The 26443-nt window shown below is 34.8% G+C and overlaps 1 long non-coding RNA gene across 1 annotated transcript in view; it reads right to left on the reverse strand.

Annotated features, from left to right (window-relative positions):
- Nucleotides 1-26443, reverse strand: part of LOC105377865 (uncharacterized) — a 374941-nt gene that overhangs the window by 31601 nt on the left and 316897 nt on the right. The window contains exon 3 of the long non-coding RNA XR_002956359.2: nt 25868-25960. This is a non-coding gene — a long non-coding RNA (uncharacterized LOC105377865). The remainder of the gene's footprint in view (nt 1-25867; nt 25961-26443) is intronic.

Raw genomic sequence — 26443 nt, forward strand, 5'->3', positions numbered from 1 at the left:
TGATGGTGGGGAAAGCAGTTAGAGACATTTGAGTCAAATCATGTAGGATTTGGCAGGGCACAGTGGCTCAATCCTAGCACTTAGGGAGGCTGAGGCAGGTGGATCACTTGAGGCCAGGAGTTCAAGACTGGCTTGGCCTACATGGTGAAACTCTGTCTATTAAAAATACAAATATTAGCTGGGTTTTGTGGCACATTCCTGTAATCCAAACTCCTTGGGAGGCTGAGGCATGAGAATCACTTGAGCCTGGGAGATGGAGGCTGCAGTGAGCCAATACTACCCAACTGCACTCCAGCCTGGACAAGAGAGCAAGACTCAATCTCCAAAAAAATAAAAGAAAAATACGTAGGAAATTGTAGGTTGTGACCTTTCTATGGTAAGGACCTTGAAATTTATTTCAAGGGGGATTGGAAGCCATTTGAGGGTTTTGGAGGGAAGAATGATGTGAGCTAATCTACATTCACAATTAATTTGGCTGTTCTGTGGAAAATAGACCGTAGGGGTCCAGAGCTGAAGCAGGAAGATGAGTTAGAGGGGTATTATATTAGTCCTATTGAACAATAGTGGTGGCATTTATTTTTCTATATAGTCATTTGTGTTTTTTACTGTACATTGTTTAAAGGCAGACCTTGATTTATTCACTTTTATTGTCAATATGCAGGAAATGCCTTGCACAATAAACAAATCTCAGTTCGATAAACACTTATAGAGGGAAGGGGGGAGTAAATGGATAATGAGTTTTAATATTCTTGAATCTAGTAAAAAGAAACTCACATGGGAAAGCATATCTCTTCCCAAACAATATAGTTTTTAAAATTTTTTTAAAAAGAAGCCTTCATTATGTTTTCTGGTGAAGGCACCCACGTGTTTTTCTATTTAAAAACTGAAAATGTTGGAATCTACTCATGTACCAGCACTAAATGAATGTGCAACCATGGAGGAGACTTCTGCAAAAAGTGACCAATTGTTTTTAAAGTTTATAGGAAACAGGAAAGGAAGAGTGGCTCATATTTATGAGAAGTAGGCAATGTCTTTAAAGAGGATAGAAGTAATTATCCCTGCATTCTCTCTCCCTTCCTTCTTTCTTAGCGGGTGGCACTGTGTTCTCTTGGGCTTACAGAAACTCAAGGTCATAGAGCAGATGGTTTATTATTGGGGTAGAGTAAAACAAAATAAATCTTTCATCTAAAATCAGTTTTATTTGGAAATAAAATTTTCACTTTCACAGATAAAGTTGGCACAAAAATGAGAACATGTTGAATTTGAATCAATTGCTCTGATTCCTTATGTTTTCTGTTAAGTGATAATCTAATGCTCTTCTGCTGTCATTGACAAAATAACAATAAATAATAAACTTTAATCCTAAATACAAGTATTAATTATATAAGAAACACCTGCAACAAGATTGTATTTGGAACTTCAATTAACCCCAATTCAGTCAGGCCCTACTACAATAAATTTAACATTTAAATGATGAATTTCATTCACAAATCAATGCTTTAGGTAGGAAAATAAGGAAAAATGGTCATGTCAATATGTCATTCATTTGATTATACTGTAAAATGACAGAACAGTTGAACCATGCACCTTGCCTATAAAGATAGTAAAGATTTTCTGATGAGCAATTCCGGATGGCTGCAATGTCTTTCAGAAGTTGGGGTGAAAAATATCCAATTGGGGGCTGGGCTTACAGTGAACACTCAGAGTTGTCTGAATGTGTGACGGACATTAGGGAAACTTCTGCTTGGACTATCGTTACCTCTTGTCATCCCATATCAGTTTGATTTTTACAGAGCCTGTGGCATCTGTCTTAATCTTAAGATATTCATTGGCAAGTGTCAATTTAATTTTCAAGTTGTTCAGATAAAAAAAAATGGGCTGCTCCTTGATTTCTATTTATTTCACATACTGCATATCCAATTTATCAATACATCCTGTCAGCTTCATTTGAAAAGATATATCCGAAGTCTTCCTGCTTCTTACCCACTATTGCCTTCATTATCTTGCTCCTGAATTACTGCAAATACTTCCTGTCTTCCTGCTTCTACCCTAAAGGCCACTCCACAGCCACAGGGATATCTTATATTAAAACATTAAGTCCAACTATACCTCTCCTCTCCTCAAATTCCCACAATGGTTTTTCATGAAAATGAAGACAAAGTCAACAGAATGTAAGCCTTATGTAATCTATGTCCTCTCTCTCCAATTATCTTTCTGACTTCATCTCCTATGATTTTCCCTTTTATTCACTCTGCACCAGGCATACTGGCCTTTTTGCTGTCTCTAGCACAGATATACTCTTGCCTCAGGGCCTTTGCACTAGCTGTTTATTCTTTTTGGAGTGCTTGTCTCCAGGCATTTACACAGCTCACTTATTATTTATTTCAGGATTTTATTGCAATGCAATGCAACTCTCTTCTTAGTGAAGCCACCCTCTCTAAAATTACAATACCATACCACACAAATCTATTTCCTTTCCCTGTATTTTTCTTCCTAAAACTTACTCCAACAAAATAGACTGTATATTTTACATACATATCTTTATTGTCTTTTCCCCTAATGATTTTGTCTATGTTCACTGCTACATCCCCCTACATCTAGAACAGTCTCTGGCACACACCAAATAATCAATAAGATTCTAATAAATATTTGTTAATCTATTTATCATTCTAAATTTTCCCTACCTACATACATTTTATTTTTTTACAATATAAAATTTTATGGATTAAAGACATGCAGGTTTGTTACATGGGTATATTGCATGACACTGAGGCTTGAGCTCCCAATGATCCCTTCACCCAGGCAGTAAGCATACTACCTAACAGGTGTTTCTGCAGCCCATGTCCCCTTTCATGCCTCCCCCATCTAGTATCCACAGCATCTATTGTTCCCATATTTACAATCACGTGTACCTAATGTTTAGTTTCCACTTATAAGTGAGAACATGCAGTATTTGGTTATCTGTTCTTTCATTAGTTCACTTAAGGTTATAGCCTCCAGCTCCATCCATGTTGCTGAAAATGACATGATTATATTATTTTTAATGAATTTATAGTGCTCCATGGTATATATGTACCACATTTTCTTTAACCAATACACTGTTGATTGGCACCTAGGCAGATACCAGATCTTAGTAATGTGGGTAGTGCAGCAATGAGCTTATAAGTGCATGTGTCTTTTTGATATAATGAATTATTTGCTTTTGGGTATATACGGTAGTGGGATTGCTGGATTGAATGCTAATTCCATCTTAAGATCTTTGAGAAATCTCCAAACTGCTTTCCACAGTGGCTGAACTAGTTTACATTTCTACCAACAGAGTATAAGTATTCCTTTCTCCCCACAGCTTTACCAGCATCTGTTAATTTTTGACTTTTTAACAATCTCCATTCAGATCTTTATGCGATGGTAATCTCATTATGGTTTCCATTTGTATTTCTCTGATAATTACAGATGTTGTGTTTTTTCATGTTTGTTGCCACTTGTATGCTCTCTTTTGAGAACTGTCTGTTCATGTCATTCACCCAGTTTTTTAAATTAAATGTTTTGTCTTTTGTTTATTGATTTGTTTAGGTTCCTTGCATATTTTGGGTATTAGACCCTTGTTAGATGCATAGTTTGCAACTATCTCCTCCATTCTTTAGGCTGTTTATTCTATTGGTAATTTCTTTTGCTGTGCAGAAGCTCTTTAGCTTAATTAGGTCCTATTTCTCAATTTTCATTTATCTTGAATTGCTTTGGTTTCTTAGTCATAAATTTGCCAAGGCTGATGTGGAGAAGAGTATTTCCTAGGTTTTCTTCTAGGGTTTTTATGGCTTGAGGTCTTACATCTAAATCTTTAATTTAACTTGAGATAATTATTGTATATGGTGAAAGGCAGGGGTCTAGTTTTCTTCTCCTGCAAAGGCTAGCCAGTTATCCCAGCACCATTGTTGAATAGGGATTCCTTTCCTTTTTGCTTATTTTTGTCAATTTTGTCGAAGATCAGATGGTTGTAGGTGTGTGGGTTCTCTATTCTGTTTCACTGGTTGATATGTCTGTTTTTCTACCAGTATCATGCTGTTTTTGTTACTGTGGCCTTATCTAATAAAGTTGGGCTATGTGATGCTTCCATTTTTGTTCTTTTTGCTTAAAATTACTTTGGTTATTCAAGCTATCCTTTCATTCCATATGAATTTTAGAATAGATGTTTCTGAGTTTGTGAACAATGATGTTGGTATTTTGATAAAGATAGCATTGAATCTGTATATTGCTTTTGGCAGTATGGCCCTTTTAACACTATTGATTCTTCCAATTCATGACTATGAACTTTTTTTTTGTTTATTTGTGTTATCTCCGATATCTTTCGGCAGTATTTTATAGTTTTCCTTGTCTAGATCTTTCTCCTTTTTGCTTAGATGAATTGCTAGGTGATATAGTTTGGCTGTGTCCCCACCCAAATCTCATCTTGAATTTTACTCCCATTATATCCACGTGTTGTGGGAAGTACCCAGTGGCAGATAATTTGAATCATGGGGGTGGTTTCCCCCATACTGTTCCCATGATAGTGAATAAGTCTCATGAGATCTGATGATTTTATCAGTGGTTTCCACTTTTGCGTCTTCGTCATTTTCTCTTGCTGCCTCCTTTTAAGAAGTGCCTTTTGCCTCCCGTCATGATTCTGAGGCCTCCCCAGCCATGCAGAACTGTAACTCCAATTAAACCTATTTTTCTTCCCAGTCTCGGGTTTGTCTTTACCAGCAGTATGCAAACAGATTAATAGAGTAAGTTGGTACCAGGAGTGGGATGTTGCTGAAAACATACCCAAAAATGTGGAAGCAACTGTGGAACTAGGTAACAGGCAGAAGTTGGAACAGTTTGGAGGGCTCAGAAAAAGTCAGAAAAATATGGGAAAGTTGGGAACTTCCTAGAGATTTTTGAATGGCTTTGACCAAAAGCCTGATAGCAATATGGACAATAAGGTCCAGACTAAGTTGGTTTCAGATGGAGATAAGGAACTTGTTGGGAACTGGAAGGAAAGTGACTCTTGTTATGTTTTGGTAAAGAGATTGGTGGCATTCTGCCCCAGCCTAGAGGTTTTTGGAACTTTGAATCTTGAGAGAGATGATTTAGGGTATCTGGCAGAAGAAATTTCTAAGCAGCAAAACATTCAAGAGGTGACTTGGGTGCTGTTAAAGGCATTCAGTTTTATAAAGGAAGCAGAGCATAGAAGTTCATAAAATTTGCAGCCTGACAATGTGATAGAAAAGAAAAACCCATTTTCTGAGGAGAAATTCAAGCCGACTGCAGAAATTTGCATAAGTAATGAAGAACCGAATGTTAATCCCTATGGCAATGGGGGAAATTTCTCCAGGGCATGTCAGAGGTCTTCATGGCAGCCCCTCCCATCACAGGCCTGGAGGCCTAGGAGAATATGGTTTCGTGGGTTGGGCCCAGGGTCCTTGTGCTGTGTGCAGCCTAGGGACTTGGTGCCCTGCGTCCCAGCTGCTCCAGCTGTGGCTGAAAGGGCCAGTGTAGAGCTAGGGCCATGGTTTCAGAGGCTTCAAGCCCCAAGCCTTGGCAACTTTCATGTGGTGTTGAGCCTGTGAGTGCACAGAAGTCAAGAATTGGGGTTTGAGAACCTCCACTTAGGTTTCAGAAGATGTATGGAAATACCTGGATGTCCAGACAGAAGTTTGATGCAGGGGTAGGGTGCTCATGGAGGGCCTCTGCTAGGGCAGTGTGGAGGGGAAATGTGGGGTCAGATCTCCACACAGAGTCCCCAGTGGGGCACTGCCTAATGGGGCTGTGAGAAGAGGACCACTGTCCTCCAGACCCCAGAGTAGTAGATCCATCGACAGCTTGCACCATTCACCTGGAAAAGCCACAGACACTCAATGCCAGACCATTAAAGCAGTTGGGAGGGAAACCGTACCCTGGAAAAACCACAGGAGTGGAGCTGCCCAAGACTATGGGAACCCACTTCTTGCATCCACATGACCAGGATGTGAGACCTGGAGTCAATGGAGATCATTTTGGAACTTTAAAATTTGACTGCCCCACTGGATTTGGGACTTGCACAGGCCCTGTAACCCCTTTGTCTTGGCCAACTTCTCCCACTTGGAATGGCTGTATTTACCCAATACCTATACCCCCATTGTATCTAGGATGTAACAAGCTTGCTTTTGATTTTACAGGATTGTAGGTGGAAGGGACTTGCCTTGTCTCAGATGAGACTTTGGACTGTAGACTTTTGGGTTAATGCTGAAATGAGTTAAGAGTTTAGGGACTGTTGGGAAGGCATGATTGGTTTTGAAATGTGAGGACATGAGATTTGGAGGGACCAGGGTGGAATGATATGGTTTGGCTGTGTCCTCACCCAAACCTCATCTTGAATTGTACTCCCATATTTCCCACATGTTTTAAGAGGGACACAGTGGGAGATAATTTGAATCATGGGATCAGTTCCCCCTTACTGCTCTTGTGGTAGTGAATACGTCTCATAAGATCTGATGGTTTTATCAGAGGTTTCCACTTTTAAATCATCCTCATTCTCTCTTGCCACCACCATGTAAGAAGTGCCTTTCACTTCCCACCATGATTCTGAGGCCTCCTCAGCCATGCGAAACTGTAAGTCCAATTAAACCTCTTTTTTTCTCCAGTCTCAGGTTTGTCTTTATCAGCAGCATGAAAATGGACTAATACACTAGGTATTTTATTTTCTTTATGGCTAATATAAGTAGGATTGTGTTCTTGATTTAGTTCATAACTAGACCATTCTTGGTATATAGAAATACTCCTGATTTTTTCCATTGGTTTTGTATCCTGAAACTTTACCAAATGTGTTTATCAATTCCAGGAACCTTTTCATGGAGTCTTTGGGGTTTTCTTTGTATAGAAGAATTATATTGTCAGCAAAGATAGATAGTTAACTTCTTTTTCTATTTGTCTTTTTTTTTCTTTCTCTTGCCTGATTGCTCTGGCTAGGACTTCCAGTGCTATGTTGAATAAAATTGGTGAGAGTGTCTTGTTTAACTTCTCAAGGGAAAATGCTTCCATCTTTTGCCCATTCAATATGATGTTGAATATGGGTTTGTTGTAGATGGCTTTTATTATTCTGAGGTATATTCCCTCAATGCCTGGTCTATTGAAGGCTTTTTTCTGCATCTATTGAGATGATCATATGTTTTTTGTTTTTGATTCTTTCTTTTTATGTGGTGAATCACATTTACTGATTTGTGTATGTTGAACTAATCTTGCACCCTAGAAATAAAACCTACTTTATTGGGATAGATTAGCTTTTTGAGGAGCTGCTGGGCTCATTTTTCTGGTATTTTGTTGAGGACTTTTGCATCAATCTTCATTAGGGATACTGGCATGAAGTTTTCTTTTTTCATTATATCTCTGCCTGATTTTCATATTACAATGATGCTGGCTTTGTAGAATGAGTTAGGGAGAAACTCCTCCTCCTTGATTTCTTGGAACAGTTTCAGTAGGATTGGTATCAGCTCTTCTTTGTAGCAATCTGAAAGAGCTTAATTTGGGGCTTTGGCCAGATAGAGCATTTGTAAAAATCTGTGGCCCTTTTGCTTTAGTTATAAAGTGAAAGTAGTTAGATAATCAGAATATGAAAGGTGAAAAATTTAGCACTGGGAAAAAAAAAACATAATATCTACACAGATTACTAAACGAAGAGGCCTGTCTTCATAAGCTCTTGAGGTGAAAGTCAGGTGAATGTGAAAGTCAGGAATGTGAATGGCACACTTAGCAAAAACAAGAACTAATGTCCACACCACATCTCTAGTTCTTCTAGATATTAAACAATTGAATCAAGCTCTATGAGTGTCAATTTCTTCATTTAAAGTGAAGGAGTTGAACTAGTTGTCTCCTTAAAATCTTTTTCTAAGTTCTACTGTCATGAATCCTTGTAGTAAAGTCTTTGGTGTACAATAATAGAATCAACATAAGGAAGTTTCAACATTAAAACAAAATTTATTACAGTAAATTTTATAACATTTTATATTTTATAATAAATGTTATAATATAATAAATTATAACATAATAAATATATAACATAAATATTTATTATAACATAAAAATATATAAATAAAATATAACATAATAAGTTATAATATAATAAATATATAATATTTTATAATAAATGTTATAATAATAAAATAATAAATTTTATTATTTTATAATAAATATAAAAATATATTTTAAAAATAATAAACTACAACTCTTGAGAAAGGATGCAATGGGGAGTAAGGATCTTGGTATCAACAGTTTGTGGATCTTTCATTAGAGTCCACCATTAAAATGACTCAGCACGCAAGTCCCATCCTCTGCATCCCTCAGTTCACATTCTTGAAGGAAAATATATTAGACCAAGTATAAGTCAACTGCTTACCACAGTCCTCCAATATTGCTAGAGAACCAGGGTAATGTGGTAGAATTATGGTTCTTTTGGACCCACCATTATAGATGGACTGACCATTTACAGAGAAAGAGACCAAGGAAGACTTTTCTAAAGGGACTGCTAAAATTCTAAATCCTAGTGTGTCTAAAACAGCAGGATTTTTACCTGAGGACAAGTTCTGATATTTTACAATGGAGATCACTCTAGTCAGATGATACATTTCTAACTTTTAAACCATCAATATTGAGATCAATAATTTTGCTTGAATTTAAGTGGCAGATTTGCTACTGACATGATAATTAATTGTAGATAAACTTTAAAATACCATCTGTTTAGTCAATAACGATCACAATAACTTTTACAACCTAATTTTATAAATCATAAAAATAAGTTTATATGCTTTCTGTATTCCCACATACAAGCCAGACCCTACATTAAATAGAATCCTCTTCAACTTTATCAATTTCTCATGAGCCAAGCAAGATAAAATTTTCTAGACGTAACAAATAGATTTTTACTTACTTTAGTGTTTTTACTTATTATGTGAAAATATTTCTTTGTGACTAGTTATCTTAAGATTAATTGTGAGACCAATGTTGTGATTCTTCAGTCCCCTTTGCCTCATCATTCTAAAAGTTTAGTTGTAGGGCTAGCTTAAAAAATAATTAAAATTTATTTCTAAGTGTGTATATATGCATGCTCACATATGAATGCTTATGTGCCTTCTTACCTAAAACTTAGCGTAAGTGTAGTAGGTTGCAACTCTAAGTGTAAGCAGGTTGTAACTGCAAATATAGTAAGTTGCAAATGTCATTTATTTGACATCTTAAAATATTACCTACTCTTTATTTTAGGATCAGCTTCTTTACCCCTTCATAATACTGAGCTTGCCCAGCTTACATAGTTCTTTGTTGACTTTGGAGCAAATCTTAAATTCCCAAAGAGCATTCTTTCCAATCTTCTGCCAAATTAAATTTAATTTGTTAAAACAAAAATATTATGCAAGGCTATTTTGAGAGGAATGTTTCAACTCTGATTCCCCTGAACCAAAATTTTTGGAGTCTCTGAAGACTAAGTGCTTATTCTCATTTCTAAGTTTCTTTGATTGGTAGTACAGGATATTTTTTCCCAGGTAACATTAGTGGAAATTAAATGGTTCATTGCTTTTGGGAAAAATTTTACTCTTTGCTTGATGGTTTAAATTTAAGATACTTTTCTTCTCTTGCTTTACTTCCACTTGACAAGCTTCAGGCATTATTTAAACCAGGAATCCAATATACCTAAATGCTACAGTATTAAGATCTATCTGAGTTTTCCACAAAATCTTTCCGAGAAACTTATACCTCAATAGTGCCCTCTCTTATCACAATAAGTTTAATAAAAAGTTTAACTAGGCTCTTCTCAACAAAAGACTTTAAAAAACTAAGAAAATCTCCAGAATAAGTTTTGGGGAAATGTGGAATTGTAACAGAATATAAACAAGACCAATAGGCAATCACTACTTCAAAGAATAGTGAAATGTTAATACACTGTAAGAATGTGTTTACAAAGGAATAATAGGTAATTGTTGATAAATGTTGCCATAATAATTAATGTAAAGCTTTTTATTCAAACTTCTGTCTTTCACCTTTCAACATATTTAACATTATAAGAATTCCTCCTGAGAATTACAAAAATAAGAATGGAAAGGCTTCTAAGACGCAAAGTGTGAGGCACTAGTTTGAGTCATCTGAGAAAAGAGACTCAAGGGTTGATTTATTTTCAAACTTTTAAAGAACTGTTCTAGAATACCCAGGGCATTCTTTCCTTCATTGTTACAAAGGGCAAACCTAGAGACAATGGGCTAAATTTCCAGTTAAAACCTGAGAACACAGGTCTAAGGGCATAAAGCAGTAGTTCAGAGACCTAAGTTTATATTGATTCACCTGGGAACTTTAAAAAATACCAGTTCCCAGAACAATTAAATCAGTTTGAGCATTGTTGTATTTTAAATGTTCTCATGGTGCTGCTAGTATCAAGCCAAGGCTGAAAAATCACTGGTGTGAAGCAAGAAGATTCTATGATATATACTTCATTGGAGCATATTAAGCCTTGAGTAACAAACTTATGAACATGGAAAATATGCCTACCTTTCTTGAAAGATGCTTCTTTCCAAGCCCTTATCCCTTTGGAAAGCCCTCACATTTTTTTATATATTTGTGATTTTAGAAGAATAAAAGTGCTATTTGTGTCAAGAATGTAGACATGGAGTTGAGGTAGTGTTTCCTGCTTCCTATAAGGGGTTATTAATTGTAAAACCAAACCTAGCCTCCTAAAATTAACAGAAAAATAAAAATCTTTAGGTTTCTAAGTGGCTCTGACTTTGCCATTACCCTGTTCCTTCAAGTCATTTCATTGGTCCTCTGGCTGGGAGCAGAGGACAGTGCCTTGACCCCCACCTCCAGCACTTTGACTCAAATCTGTGTCCTTTCTCTTTGAAAGTGAACTGGAACTCTCAAAAGTAAGAACAGGATAGTAAGAGATAGTTAAAGGAATGTAAGCTCATACATGTCAATAAAATTCAAAGTTCTATTTATGTCTTAGTCACTTTATTTGTGAGACCTGTTCCAATTCACCCACTGCCTTAAGACATCTATATGCTAGCCCTCCAATACAGGAGCAAGGTACAAGCACATGGCTAGTTTTTTTCATTTGTTTTCACTCGATCCATCCCCATGTGACAACTGCATGGTTTTGCCACGCAGGTATTTTTTCCTATTCTGCTTTATATCTCTCCGGGTAAATGTTAGATAAGAAGATTCTGCCCTTTAGTTAATAGAAAAAGAAATAATAGGAGAGGGAGAAGGAAATCTGATTTTTAAAATAATTAATACTATGTGTTTTATATATAGTATAAAACTTTATGTTAAAAAATAAAGAATACTTTATACTTTAAAAAAAATTTTATTAATGCTATGTGCTTTATATAAAGCATGTCTATATATACTGATCTTCACAACCACCATGACTTCTGAGTATTATTTTCCAAATGATGAGACCACAGCTCAGGGAGGTAAAATAACTCTACTAGGGATGTGCAGATATAAAAACTAGGCTGAGATTCATGATCTTTCCACTTTCTTTCCTTTCTAAGTCCTGTTTCTGGGAAAAAGGAATCACATGTGCCTAGAGTTGCCCAAAGTCCAAGGTATCCCAATCTTATAGTAGTCCATGTGAACAACACCTGACATAATTGTGCAATGCTTTCATAGGCCTGTCTCTCCTCAAGGATTTAGTATAAATGGTCTACTAATCAGGTGAGACACTACGTCCCCTCCAAACCAGTTGTAATAGTTATAATACTAACAGTAATTGCAGCGAATATACATTGTGCAATTATTATGAGCTAGACACTTTTCTGAAACATATTTTGTGAATTAACAAATTTAATCTTTACAACATTCTATCAGTTAAGTAATAGAATTGCCTTCATTTTACAGATGAGGAAACTGAGACAGAGAAAATTTGTTAAAGGTCACATAACTGGCAATTTATGGAACAGGAATTTAAACCTAGAAAATAACAATTATAATTCAACAAGATAACAATAACATTAGTGCAATAAGAATTATATATGTCAGCCAAAAGCTGTCTCCTCATACTTGTCATCTGCCTAACTGTGAAAGGAATGATCTAGATGATTAGAGGTAAAGACAGAATTATCCTGAAGTTTTAAGAGACAGGCTTGGAAATAAACTTGAAATGTAAGAGAAGTGGACAAGTAAATACTAGAGTACACTAAATATTTTGATATATTTTAACAGGATATGAGAAATGGCAGCTGAGATTATAATTTCTCTTAGGCATAACTTAAACTGAACAGTTGGTTTTGTGTTTAATATGGTAAAGCCAGACTGGACCATTCTTTCCTTCCAATTTTGAAAATGGATATTTAGTTAGAGGACAAACTGTATTCTCAGAGGGTTGAAGAAACCTGCCGGAAGGCTTAAAATATTTTTAAAAATAAGGTAGTATTTTTCCCAGTATTAGGATTCTACAAATAAAATATTGTAAGTAGAGTATTTCCAGGATATTTTGAATAGAAAATACCTATTAATATTACCCTTTGAATTAATTCTCATTCTGCCTATTACTCTTCTCACGGAAACTTGTGTTTCAATTTTCTAGTTCACTACATAAACTCTGGGTTTCATTAGTCATTGACATCACTGAAACTGTGAACTTTCTATATGTCTGAGTAGCTACAAATATCCAAGTAGTATCAAGCAATTTTATGAAATTAGAGAATAAAAGACTAAGTAGAGAGGAAATATCCTTAAGATAAGTACATTATCATGATTTGACAGGAAGGGGAGAGGATCATGGGACAAGAAGGAGAAAAAAAAGTTAATTTAAAAAAATTCTATTTCTTTCTCTTATTTGATTTCTCTGGCTAGGAGTTCCAGTACTATGTTGAATAGAAGTGGTCAGGCAAAGGAAATAAATAAAAGTCATTCAAATAGGAAAAGTCAAGCTATCTTCCTTTACGAACAATATGATTCTATATCTAGAAAATCCTAAAGACCCTGCCAAAAGGCTCCTAGAACTCATAAATGACCTTGGTAAAGTTTCGGGATACAAAATCAGTATACAAAAATAAATAGCATTTCCATACACAAACAACATCCAGGCCAAGAGTGAAATCAAGAACACAATCCCATTCACAATGGCTGCAAAGAAAATGAAATACCTAAGAATACAGTTAACCAACAAGGTGAAAGATCTCCTCAAGGAGAACTAAAAACCTCTGCTGAAAGAAATTAGACAACACAAATAAATGAAAAAAGATTCCATGATCATGGATTGGAAGAATCAATATCATTAAAATGGCCACACTACCCAAAGTAATTTATAGATTCAATGCTATTCCCATTAAACAACCATTGACATTCTTTACAGAATTAGAAGAAACTATTTTAAAATTCATATAGAACCAGAAAGAGAGCCTGAATATCCAAGACAATCCTAAGCAAAAAGAACAAACCTGGAGGCATCATGCAACCCAACTTCAAACTATACTACGAGGCTACAGTAACCAAAACAGCATGGTACTGATACAAAAACAGACACATAGACCAATGGAACTGAATAGAAAACTCAGAAATAAAGCCACACACCTACATCCATCTAATCTTTGACAATGCTGATAAAAACAAGCAGTGGGGAAAGGACTCCCTATTCAATAAATGGTGCCAGGATAACTGACTAGCCACGTGCTGAATTGATGCTGGACCCCTGCCTTTCACCATATACAAAATTAACTCAAAACGGATAAAAGGCTTAAATATAAGCCCTCAAACTATAAAAATCTTAGAAGACAACCTAGGAAATACTCTTTTCAACGTCAGCCTTGGCAAAGAAGTTATGGCTAAGTCCCCAAAAGCAATTGCAGCCAAACCAAAAATAGACAAATGGGGTCTTATTTTACTAAAGATCTTCTGCATAGCAAAAGAACTTATCAACAGAGTAAACTGACAACCTACAGAGTGGAATAAGATATTTGCAATCCATGCATCTGACAAATGCTTACTATTCAGAATCTATAGAGAATTTAAAGAAATCAACAAGTAAAAAGCAAATAACCCCATTGAAAATGGACAAAGGACATAAACAGACAGGTCTTAAAAGAAGACATAAAAGTGGCAACAATCATATGAAAAAATGTTCAACTTTACTAACCGTTGGAGAATTGAAAATCAAAACCATAATGAGATACCATCTCACACCAGTCAAAATGGCAATTATTACAAAGTCAAAAAACAATAGATGCCCATAAGGCTGCAGAGAAAAGGAATGCTTATACACTGCAGGTGAGAATGTAAATTAGTCCAGCCCCTGTGGAAAGCAGTTTGGAGATTTCTTAAAGAACCTAAAACAGAACCACCATTCAAACCAGCAATCCCATTACAGGGTATATACCCAAAGGAAAATAAATCATTCTACCAAAAAGACACATGCACTCGTATGCTCATTGCTGCACTATTCGTAATAGAATAGACATGGAAATAACAGGTGCCAAACAACAGTGTATTGGATAAAGAAATTATGGTACATATACACTATGGAATACATTGTAGCCATAAAAATAGTGAAAACAGGTCCTTTGCAGCAATATGATGGAGCAATCCTAAATTAATTAATGAAGCAACAGGAAACCAAATACCACATGTCTCACTTATAAATGGGAGCTAAACATTGAGCACACATTGGCATAAATACAGATACTATGAGCAAAAATAGATATTATGGACTACTGAGGCAAAAAGAGGTAGTGGGGGCATGTGTTGAAAAACTACCTATCAGGTACTATGCTCACTACCTGATTGACGAGATCCATACCCCAGACATCAGCAGATGCAATATCTCCATATAATACACCTACATATGTACCCTCTGTATCTAAAATGAGTTTAAATTAAAAATAAATAATTCCAAATGATTGTTTTTAGGAATTTTATAATATCTTCTTGCTTTAAAATGTTGCAAAAATGATCAACTTATTTTTTTGTTTTTTTTTAAGAACTTATTTCCATTCTTTAGAGGCAAGTAAATTGGTGTGAACTATTTACTCATATAACAATTTATTTTTGTTGAAAAAGCAGTGACAATTTAGTTAGTATGAGTCAGCAATATCTAAACCATTTTTTAAATATTCTACAGATGCAATTAGGATTACTAAAACAATGAGAGAAAAACTTTGCAAGCAATTTAATTGGACAATTGTGGAACATATCCCCTTGCCCACAATTTACCATCACACAAAAATAGCCAGTAGCATAAGAGTAAATCACAGCTGAAAGAGATGCAAGCCACAGGTCCTCCCAGACAAAGAGCACCTAGGAAAGCCCAAAGTTAAGTGTGGAGAGGAAAACAAGGACAAGAAATGAAGTTAAATTGTCTGGTGCCTGTAGCTATGACAAATATTAAACACAGTCCAACTCCTAGCCAGATGAGCATAAATCCCCATAGTAAAGACCTATTTATCTCACTTCCTATTACCTAATTCATTGTATCTGGCTTTAAACAAAAAGATTGCCAGGTATGTCAAAATTCAAGGAAAAAAAACCACTCTGAGAAAAAGGCAATCATCAGAACCAGACTCATGATGTCACATACATGTTGGAATTATATGATAGGAATTTTAAAATAACTATGATTAATATGTTAAGAACCCTAATAGCAAGAGTAAACAGCATGGAAGAACAGATACGTAATGTAAGCAGAGAGATAAAAACTCTAAGGGATAATCAAAGGGAAATTTTAGAATTAAAAACCACAGTAACTGAAATGAAGAATACATTCGGTGAGCTTTCAGTAGACTTGAAATGACTGAAGAAAGAATCAGTAAATTTGAAGACAGGTCAATAAAAACTTTTCAAATTATAATGCAAAAAGAAAAAAATATTAAAACAAACAAACAAATGAGGACCAAACGTCAAAGAACTGTGGGACAATATATAAAAGTGTAACATATACTTAATTGAAATACTTAAGACCTTTCCAAAATTAGTGACAGACACCACATAACAGGTCCAGAAAGTTCAGATAAAGTGAAGCGTAATAAATACCAAACAAATAGATTTTGGCATGCCATATTTAAACAGCAGGAAACCAAACACAAAGAAAAAAGTCTAAAAAGAATGCAGAGGAGGAAAACACTAATTTATAGAGGAATAAGAATTACCGTGGACTTCTCATCAGAGACCATGACAGCAAAAAGAGAGTGGAAATGAAGTTTTGAAAACAAAGTAAAATAAATACATCAACCTAGAATTTATCCAGCAAAATTATCCATCAAAAGTGAAGGGTAAACAAAGAAAAAAAACCTATACAACCAGCAGACTTTCCAAAAAATGGTTAAAAAAAAAAAAGTTCTTCAGAGAGAAAGAAAATGAAAATGATAAAGGTCAGAAATTTGGATTTTACATAAAGAAAAGAAAACATTGAAGAAGGAATATATGAAGGTAAATTACAATCTTTTTTCTAATTTTTAATTGATGTAAAAGATAGTTTTTAAAGCAATAATAATAACAATGACAATGTATTAGGTGATTATGAATGGGCAAAATGAGTGACAGCAACATCGAGGGAAAGGGGGGAGAAACTGGGAATAATTTCTTATAAAGTACTTGCACTACATGTTAATCAGTGTAGTGTTATTTGAAGGTGGACAAAACAGATAAAAATGTAAATTGTAAATTCTAGGACAACCAATACATTTTTTAAAGTAATATAATTTGTATGCTAAGATAGAAGATAAAGTGAAATCATGTAAAATGCTCAATTAAATAAAGAAAAATCAGAAGGTAGAGAAATAAGTAAGCCAATAAATTTTAAAAAGACTTTGAGATATCATAAATATTAGTCCACGTTAATAATCACTTAATGTATAAATGGTTTAAATAAACTAATTGAAAGAAAAATTTGGTCAGAGTAGATTAAAAACAATGTTTCCAAACCATATATTGTCTGCAAAAACCTACTTTATATATAAATTTACTAATAATTTAAAAGCAAAGGGTTGGAGAAAGATACATCATAGTAACACTAATTTTAAAAAGCTGGGGTAGGATGGGCGCGTTGGCTCCTGCCTGTAATCCCAGCAGGCTGGGATGCTGAGGCAGGCAGATCACCTGAGGTCAGGAGTTTGAGACTAGCCTGGCCAACATGGCAAAACCCCATCTCTACTAAAAATACAAAAATTAGCCAGGCGTGGTGGCAAGTGCCTGTAATCCCAGCTACTTGGGAGGATGAGGCAGGGAGAATTGCTTGAACCCGGGAGGCAGAGGTTGCAGTGAGCTGAGATTGCACCACTGCCCTCCAGACTGAGTGACAGAGCAAGACTCCCACAAACAAACAAACAAACAAACAAAAGCTGGGGTAGCAATATTACATTTAGACAAAAAGGACTTCAGAACAAGGAAAAGCTTCAGAAGTAAACAAAAGTATTCCATAATGATAAATAATCAATTCTTGAAGAAAGCATAATAATCATAAATGCATATGTAACTCACAAAAGAATGTGAAAATACATGCAGAAAATGCTGATACAACTGATTGGAGAAATAGACAAATCCATTCCTATTTGAGGACATCAGTATCTCTTTTAGCATTTGCTAGATCAAGCAGGTGGAAAATCAGTAAAGACATAGATGACCAGAATAGCACAATCCATCAATTTGTTCTAATTGACATGTAGAGAGTATCCCATTTAGCAACAGCAGAAGACACATTTTTCTCAAGGCTACATGGAACATTACCCAATGTAAACCACATTCTGGGCATAAAACATATCTTAACATACTTAAAAAACTAGCAATCATACAAAGCATGTTCTCAGACCACAGTGGAATTAAACTATAAATATGCTATAGAAAAATAGCTGGGAACTCTTCAAATATTTGGAAATTAAATAACACACTTCTAAATTATCTATGAGTCAAAGAAAAAGTCTCAAGAAACTTTAAAATACATTTTGAACAAAATGAAAACACAAATTATCAAAACCTGTTGGCTGCACCAAAAGCAATGCATAAAGAGAAATTTATAACATTAAATGCTTATGTCAAAAAATAAGAAAGATCTAAAATAAAAAACCTAATATTTTACTTTTGAAAACTAGATAACGAAGAGGGATTTAAGTTTTAGTGCATAAATAAAAAGAAGTAATACAAATTAGAGTAGAAATCGATGAAATTGAAAGTAGAAAACCAATAAGGAAGATGGTTTTAGAAATTCATTTTTTGGAAAGATCAACACAATACATTTTTAAGTATCTCAACCAACAACAAAAATGGGAGAACACACAAATTATCGATGTTAGAAATAAAAAAGAGATCAACACTCCGACTAAGGAAATACTACTTATTCATGTAACCAAATATCACTAGTTCCCCAAGAAAACTATGGAAATAAGAAATCTAAATAATAAAGCCAGTAAAATAAAATGAAGGTAATAATTTAAAATTATAGATAGCAAATATTGTAGGCTTTGTGGGTTACGCAGTCTCTGTCGCAACTCTGCCATTGTATTTCTGAAGCAGCCGCAGACAATATGTAAATGAATAAGCATTGCTGTGTTCCAATAAAACTTTACAAACGCAGGTGGTAGGCCATAGATTGCCCCACCTGGCTCTAAAAGAGCTTAAATAACTGCTTGTACTGAAGAAACAGCTTAGTGGCAAAGCAAATATAAGAATTCTTAGGCTGGATGTGGTGGCTCATGCCTGTAATCCAAGCACTTTGGGAGGTTGAGTTGAGAGGATTGCTTGAGCCCAGGAGTTCAAGACCAGCCTACGCAACATAGAGAGACTTCGTCTCTACAGATAAAAATTAGCCAGGTGTGGTGGCACATACTTGTGTCCCAGATGCTTGGAAGGCTTGAGTGGGAGGATTGCCTGAGCCTGGGAGGTCGAGGCTGCAGTGAGCTGTGATTGTACCATGCACTCCAACCTGGACTACAGAGGGAGACTCTGTGTCAAAAAAGAAAGAAAAAATTTCTTCAACCCTGAGAGCCTAACATGTCTAAATCTGTTTCTTATATGCTCATTGCCATTGTTTTCTGATGTTGGTTAGAACCTTAACTTTGAAATAATTTAACAAACTAGTAATAATACATATATGAAATACATTTTTACTTTAATAAATCATTACAAATAATAGGGAAAAAAATCTTTAAAAACTTGCCTCAATGATATTTTAACCACCAAATGGAAGGGTTCAATAAGAAGCAGTCAAAATTAACATAAAAACATAATAAAAGTAATGGAGTCAGTATCTTTAGTCTCTAAGACCGTTAGTTCTCATTTCTCAGTTTTGCAATTTAAAAAATGCATTCCTGCTGTTCATGTGTTCATCCATTCATCAAATAATTTTAATGACTACCATGTGCAGTATTGTTCTAAGTGTGATTTGAAAAGTAAATGTGATGGTACACATGAAATAAATGATAAGATAAATGAAATAAAACAATTTCTTGGAAGACAGAAAGGACTAAAATCCACACGAGGAGAAACAGATGACCTGAATTGCTCTATACAGGAATTAATTCAATATTTTATAAGATTCTCAAAAGAAATTACCAGGCCCAGATATTTTCACTGGTGAATTCTACAAAGTACTTAAGGAAGAAATAATACCAATTTTCCACCTTATCCAGAAAATAGAAGCAGAGAAAACACTTTCTAATGTATTCTCTAAAACCAGAATTATCTTAGTATGCAAATTGGCTGAAGACATTACAAAGAAAGAAAACAACAGAACAACCTCCCTCATGGACATATATGCAAAAATCTTAAACAAAATATCAACATGGAATCCAACAACATGGGAAAACAGTTTATACAAGAAACAAGTGGAATTTATTAGGAGTTTATAAAGCTAGTCCAACATGTAACAACAATGTAATCCACCACATATACTGGCAAAAGAAAAAAAATCAGAGATGATAATATGAATTGATGTTGATAAAGCATTTGATGAAATCCAATATCCATTCATGATAAAAACTCTCAATACTGTGAAATAGAGTGGAATTTCTTCAACTTTATTTTTTTAAGAAAGGAAACCTACATGTCCTACATCTAACATCATGCTCAATGATAAGAGACTGATGCTTCACCCCTAATATCAGGAAAAAGGCAAAGTAACCTTATCACTCTTGTTAAATATCCTACCAAAAGTCAGAGCTAGTGCAACAAAACAAGAAAAAGATAAAATGTGCACAGATTGGAGGGAAGAAGTAAACTTTTTTATTTGCAAATGACATAATTGCCAGAACAAAACCCCCCAAAGAATGTAAATAACAACAGCAGCAGCAACAACAAAATTCACTTCCTGGAACTAATAAGCAAGTATAGCCAAGTCACAAGATACAATATCAATATTAATCTCAATTACTTTCCTTTATAAGAACAATGAATCATTGAAGTTTGAAATTAAAGCTATACTATTTACAATACCACCAAATTAATGGAGTACTTAAGTATAAAATCACATACAGAATTTGTATGCAGAAAATTACAAAATACTGATAAAAAAGTGTCTAAACAAGTGGAGAGATATTTTATGTTCTTAGATTGGAAGACTCAATATTCTTAAAACACAATTTCCTCCCAATGTGATCTATTTATTTGATAATCACAATCACAATCTGAGCAAGTTATTTTATATAAACAAACTAATTCCAAAATTTATATAAAAATGCAAGTGAGCCAACGAAATGCTAAAAAAAAAAAAAAAAACTGCAGGACTCACAGTATCCAATTTTAAGGCTAATTATGAAGCCACACTAATCAAGAGAATTTAAAAGGATGGCAGATGTTAAGGGCCAGACTTTCTCACTGTTGGATTGGAAGATTACGGACCAGCAAGGGGATAAATCTAAAATGATTCATGTGGTATTAGATTTAAGTTGAAAACATCAGTATAAACTCATGTTTAGCTTATTAGTATATACTTCCTCTGTCAGCTGAAAAGGCTTAGAAGTACTGACACTTCAGTCATAATGAATATAACTAGCACACAAATCTTGGATTCTAATACCACACTCCAATAAAAGACAGTGGGCTCCATAGAGAAATACTTGATTCTAGGATTGAGTCAGAAGATAAACAAGATGTATTCAGAGCATTTTGTAGTGCTAAAAACAAAACAAACAAACCTTCGATGATGGTAATATGTCAAAGGGATAAAGTAGCTAAACAAAAGGATACCCATGACCAAAGCTAAAACAATTTGAGCAACAAAATGGATAAACTTGTATTAAATAATAATCTAAAATATAAAATAAAATTGTATAAGTCCATACTGACATAAATAAATGATTGAATAAATAAATAAGAGGAATAGATAATTCTCTCATCTAGAAGAATTCCAAATAATTCATATAGCTAATCTCTACTCAAGAAGGTGCAACATACTTCTCCATTCCTTATATATGGGCTGTACATAGTGACTGCCTTCCAAAGTACAGCATGGAAGGTGGGGAGTAACTTTACAATGAAGAAATCTGACAACACTACCATAGCCCGGTGTTCAAAGATAATATTGACAGGGATAAGTCATGTTAATAGCTTGTAGGATTATTGATACATTGTGATGAGAATAGTGTTTTACTTCTGTGGATTTTGTCCCCCAAAAAATATAATTTCAGTCTAATTATGAGAGGAAAAAAGAAAGAAACTGGCATGGCATGTGAGGAGTCATCACAGTGAAATGTAGTGTGATATACTGATTGGGATTCTTGAATAGAAAAAAGACATTTGGTAAAAACTACGGAAATAAAGTATGAACTTCAGTAATAATAATATAACAATATTGGTTCATTAATTGTGACAAATTAAAACTTATATTAATGTAGGATGTTAGCAATAGGGAAACCTGTGTGGAGGGTATATAGGAACTCTCTGTACTCTCTTCCTAACTTATCTGTAAATCTAATACTATTCTAAACTTTAACAGTAAACTAAAAAATAAAAATAAAAAAGCTGAGGTAGCATATTATGAAGCCTATAGCTTCTATTTTAAATTTTAACTTTCCATATTGATGTTATTTATTGAGATTTCACTCAAATCTTAAATTTGCGAAAGGCAAGCATTCTACAGCCAAATAAAAGGTAAATGGCATAATTCATAATATTGTACGTAAATATTACATGTATGGACTGGGTGTAATCATTTAATTTATCTCTACACCTTTTAAATGCTCAACACATTAAGAGAATAGTTAAATAGCCAGAAACATAGTGACAGTTGCATGAAAAGCAGTATAAAGAGAACTTTATTGTGTGGGAGTCTAAATCTCATTGTAGGTCTCTAAGAAATTGCTTTATAAATCTGGGTGCTCCTGTATTGGGTGCATATATATTTAGGATAGTTAACTCTTCTTGTTGAATTGAGTCCTTTAGCATTATGTAATGCCCTTCTTTGTCTTTTTTGATCTTTGTTGGTTTAAAGTCTGTTTTGTCCAAAACTAGGATTGCAACCACTGCTCTTTTCTGTTTTCCATTTGCTTGATAAATTTTTCTCCATCCCTTTATTTTGAGCCTATGTGTGTCTTTGCACATGAGATTGGTCTCTTGAATACAACATACTGATGGGTCTTGGCTCTTTACCCAGCTTGCCATTCTCTGTCTTTTAATTGGAGCATTTAGCCCAGTTACATTTATGGTTAATATTGTAATATGTGAACTTGATCCTGTCATGATGCCAGCTGGTTATTTTGCAGACTTGTTTATGTAGCTGCTTCATCGTGTCACTGGTCTGGGTACTTCAGTGTGTTTTTGTAGTGGCTGGTAACAGTTTTTTCTTTCCATATTTAGTGCTTCCTGCAGGATCTGTTGCAAGGCAGGCCTGGTGGTGGTGAATTCCCTCAGCATTTGCTTGTCTGAAAAGGATCTTATTTCTCCTTCACTTATGAAGCTTAGTTTGGCTGGATATGAAATTTTGTGTTGGAAATTCTTTTCTTTAAGAATGTTGAATTTTTGACTCCAATGTCTTTTAACTTGTAGCATTTCCACTGAGAGATCTGCTGTTAGCCTGATGGGCTTCGTTTTGCAGGTGGTCTGGCCTTTTTCTCTGGCTGCCCTTAACATTTTTGTAATACAGCCATTTGACAAATGTCTAATATCCAGAGTCTACAAGAAACTCAAACAAATTTACAAGAAAAAACCAAACAACCCCATTAAGAAGTGGGCAAAGACATGAACAGACACTTCTCAAAAGAAGACATTTATGTGGCCAACAAACATATGAAAAAAAAGCCCAACAACACTGATCATTAGAGAAATGCAAATAAAAACCACAAGAGATACAATTGAAAACCAGTAAGAATGGCAATTATTAAGAAGTCAAGAAACAACAGATGCTGGTGAGGTTGTGGAGAAAAAGGAATGCTTTTACATGGTTGTTGGAAATGTAAATTAGTTCAACCATTGTGTAAGACAGTGAGGCAATTCCTCAAAGATCTGGAAGCAGAAATACCATTTGACCAGCAATCCCATTACTGGGTATATACCCAGAGGAATATAAATCATTCTATTATAAAGATATATGCTCACGTATGTTCATTGCAGTGCTATTCACAATAGCAAAGACATAGAATCGACCCAAATGCCCACCAATGATAGACTGGATAGAGAAAAGATGGTACATATACACTATGGAATTCTATGCAACCATAAAAAGGAACAAGATCAACTCCTTTGCAGGGTCATGAATGGAGCTGGAAGCCGTTATCCTCAGCAAACTAACACAGGAACAGAAAACCAAACACCTCATGTTCTCACTAATAAGTGGGAGCTGAATGATGAGAACACATTGACACATGGTGGGGAACAACACACACTGGGGCCTGTCTTGGGACAGGGGGAGGGAGAGCATCAGGAAGAATAGCTAATGGATTCTGAGCTTAATACTTAGGTGTTACCTATGTAACAAACTTGCACATCCTGCACATGTACCCCAGAACTTAAAATAAAAGTTGAAGAAAAAAACAGAACTTTATTAGTCTACTAAGAGGATACTAGCTGAAATGATTGACTGACTAGTAACTCCTCAGTTCTGAAAGCTAAGAAATAATCACATCAAGAATAAATGAAAAATTATGAGCACCAACTTGACAAATCTAGATATGCCCCAAACAATACTTTGTCAACTCTGACTTCCCAACAAATATAAACACTATTTCTGTACTCTGAAAATTCTATCAAAAAATGGAATGTCTTATCCAGACAGGGCAGTAGGACTTCTCTTCCTTTGTAGTAGCTTCTCCATTTCTGTGATGCTGTGATGATTAGATACAATTACAACGACGATTGAACATCTCTCTCTCTCTCTCTCTCTCTCTCTCTCTCTCTCCACACCTTCACCCTGCCCTGTTGCCTAGTCTTCTTACTAGAAATGTTCTCATATTTCACTACTGTGTAGAAGTAGAGCTGCCTTGTTTTTTATGGGCAAGCCACTTAATGAGAAAATAAAATTCTACAATAACAAATGCTACTCACTGGGCCACAAATCTACTTCCAAAGAAAAGCTATCATGTGGAACCAAATGGAAAAAGCAGCCCCTGAAGAAGTTTTAAAATGCATAATAGTTTTAATCTCACTTGATAATATTTATGAAGATAGTATTTATGAAGAATACTGATGAACTTCTTCCACCGAAAAAGTGTCTTTCCTTCAATTGGGATTTAAGGCTGTACAGTTTCCTGCCTTTTCCCTTGAATTAGGTTAACTTTTAACCATATTTGAATGGAAAAGAAGCATAAAATATCTTTTAAAATTCAATTTAGAAAAATTAATCCTTTCTCCCATGTGAGCTCTGTAAAGATAGCAGAATATCCAATCAGGAAGTGAATATACAAGATGATCCTGACTTTCAAGCAAAACCTTATTAAAATTGAAAAGTTACACTTACTTATGATATTATCATGTTTTTATCATGGGAACCAAATTGCAAATATATGAACTCTGTGCAAACATAACAGTTTCCCTTTACATGACTTTTACTGAGAATTTTTTATGTGTCTTATTGACCTTAAATATATTAAGATATGTATGTCCATAGATTGAATTCTTTTGAATCAGCTCAAACCAATACTTGGCAGCAATGCATATACAGATTACTCAATTTGGAATTTTTACCTTTTTAAAAATTAGCACTTTTCTTTAAATCACATCTCATTGCACTTGGAAACATCTGTGACAAACAGAGAGGAGGATGAGCTATCAAGACAGAGTGTGGTATTTTCGAACTGATGAAGCCTGCCTCTTGCAGAGTCTCAGCAAGCAGTGAGGTGGAAATTCACACAGAGAGCTAGATAAGGTGCCTGGCCTATATGCAACAACTAGACTTTCATTCTCTATTTATATTTGAAACGTCTTTTGTTTCTTCAAGATGCATGAAATAAAATTGAGGAGTACATAACAAAAAGTCAAAGGAGTTTGATAATGACTTTGGGACTGAACAGAATGGCCTATGAAGAGTCAGAGCAAAAGCATATTTTTGACATCACATTTACATGTAAAACAACACTTTGAAACTAGATTTTTTATTCTCCTTATAAAGTAGATATTGCATATCGCAATCTGTCAAAAAATAAAACTACCTATCTTATTTTTGGAAGAAATTTTCATCCTAAAGAATCATTTCATCAGTGGTGTTCATTAATGCACAGCTGCTAAGCACCTGTGCATGCATGCATTGGCCCATGAAGATAAGCAACTAGAAATTTTGGTCCCCAGGTTCTGGAGATTCTATGCATATATATATATATGCATATATATATGGAGAGAGATATATTATACATACATATTTTCATATATACATTTTATGTATGTATGTTATATACATTATGCATCTTACCATATAAACCAAAATGAGTAGTGACACTGGTGCATTTAAACTGATCATTATTCCCTAAGTGCTTACCCTTATGGAAACCAACTTTGGAGGTTAGAACATTCTTTTTGGAGTATCCTTTCAGAAAGCTGGGAGCCACATCCAAGCGCCACCATTCATTACCTAGGAAACCAGAGGAAATTCATGTAACCACTGTCCTTTATCTCCATGTCAACGACCTGAGGGATGTGTACAGCACATGGTAAAAGCTTCATAAATGTTAGTAATTATTATGCTTATATTTCCATAAGCTGAAATGCTCTTTTCTCCCTTTCCCATCTGTTTTTACCCTTTTAGTCCTTCAAGGCTCACTTCAAATACAGAAAGAATAATCACAATAGCAACAAGAAATTTCCCTTACTTCTCCAACTCTACATACACAAAACTATTTGTATATCACTGCTCTCATGGAACACCTTGTTGGGAACACCATATAGTGGTTATAAATTGGTGAGGAGTTTGGAAAATTTGGAGTAAATTAAGCCCTGGAAAGCTTTTTCATGTGAATAACTCCTAATTTTGATAGATCTGCGGATGAGCATTGGGGAAGAAAAAATTGGGGCATTGGATGCTTTGATAAAGATCCCCAGGAGTACATATAAGACC

Source organism: Homo sapiens, chromosome 6 (assembly GCF_000001405.40).
Source record: "Homo sapiens chromosome 6, GRCh38.p14 Primary Assembly".
In the NCBI taxonomy this organism is placed as follows: domain Eukaryota; kingdom Metazoa; phylum Chordata; class Mammalia; order Primates; family Hominidae; genus Homo; species Homo sapiens.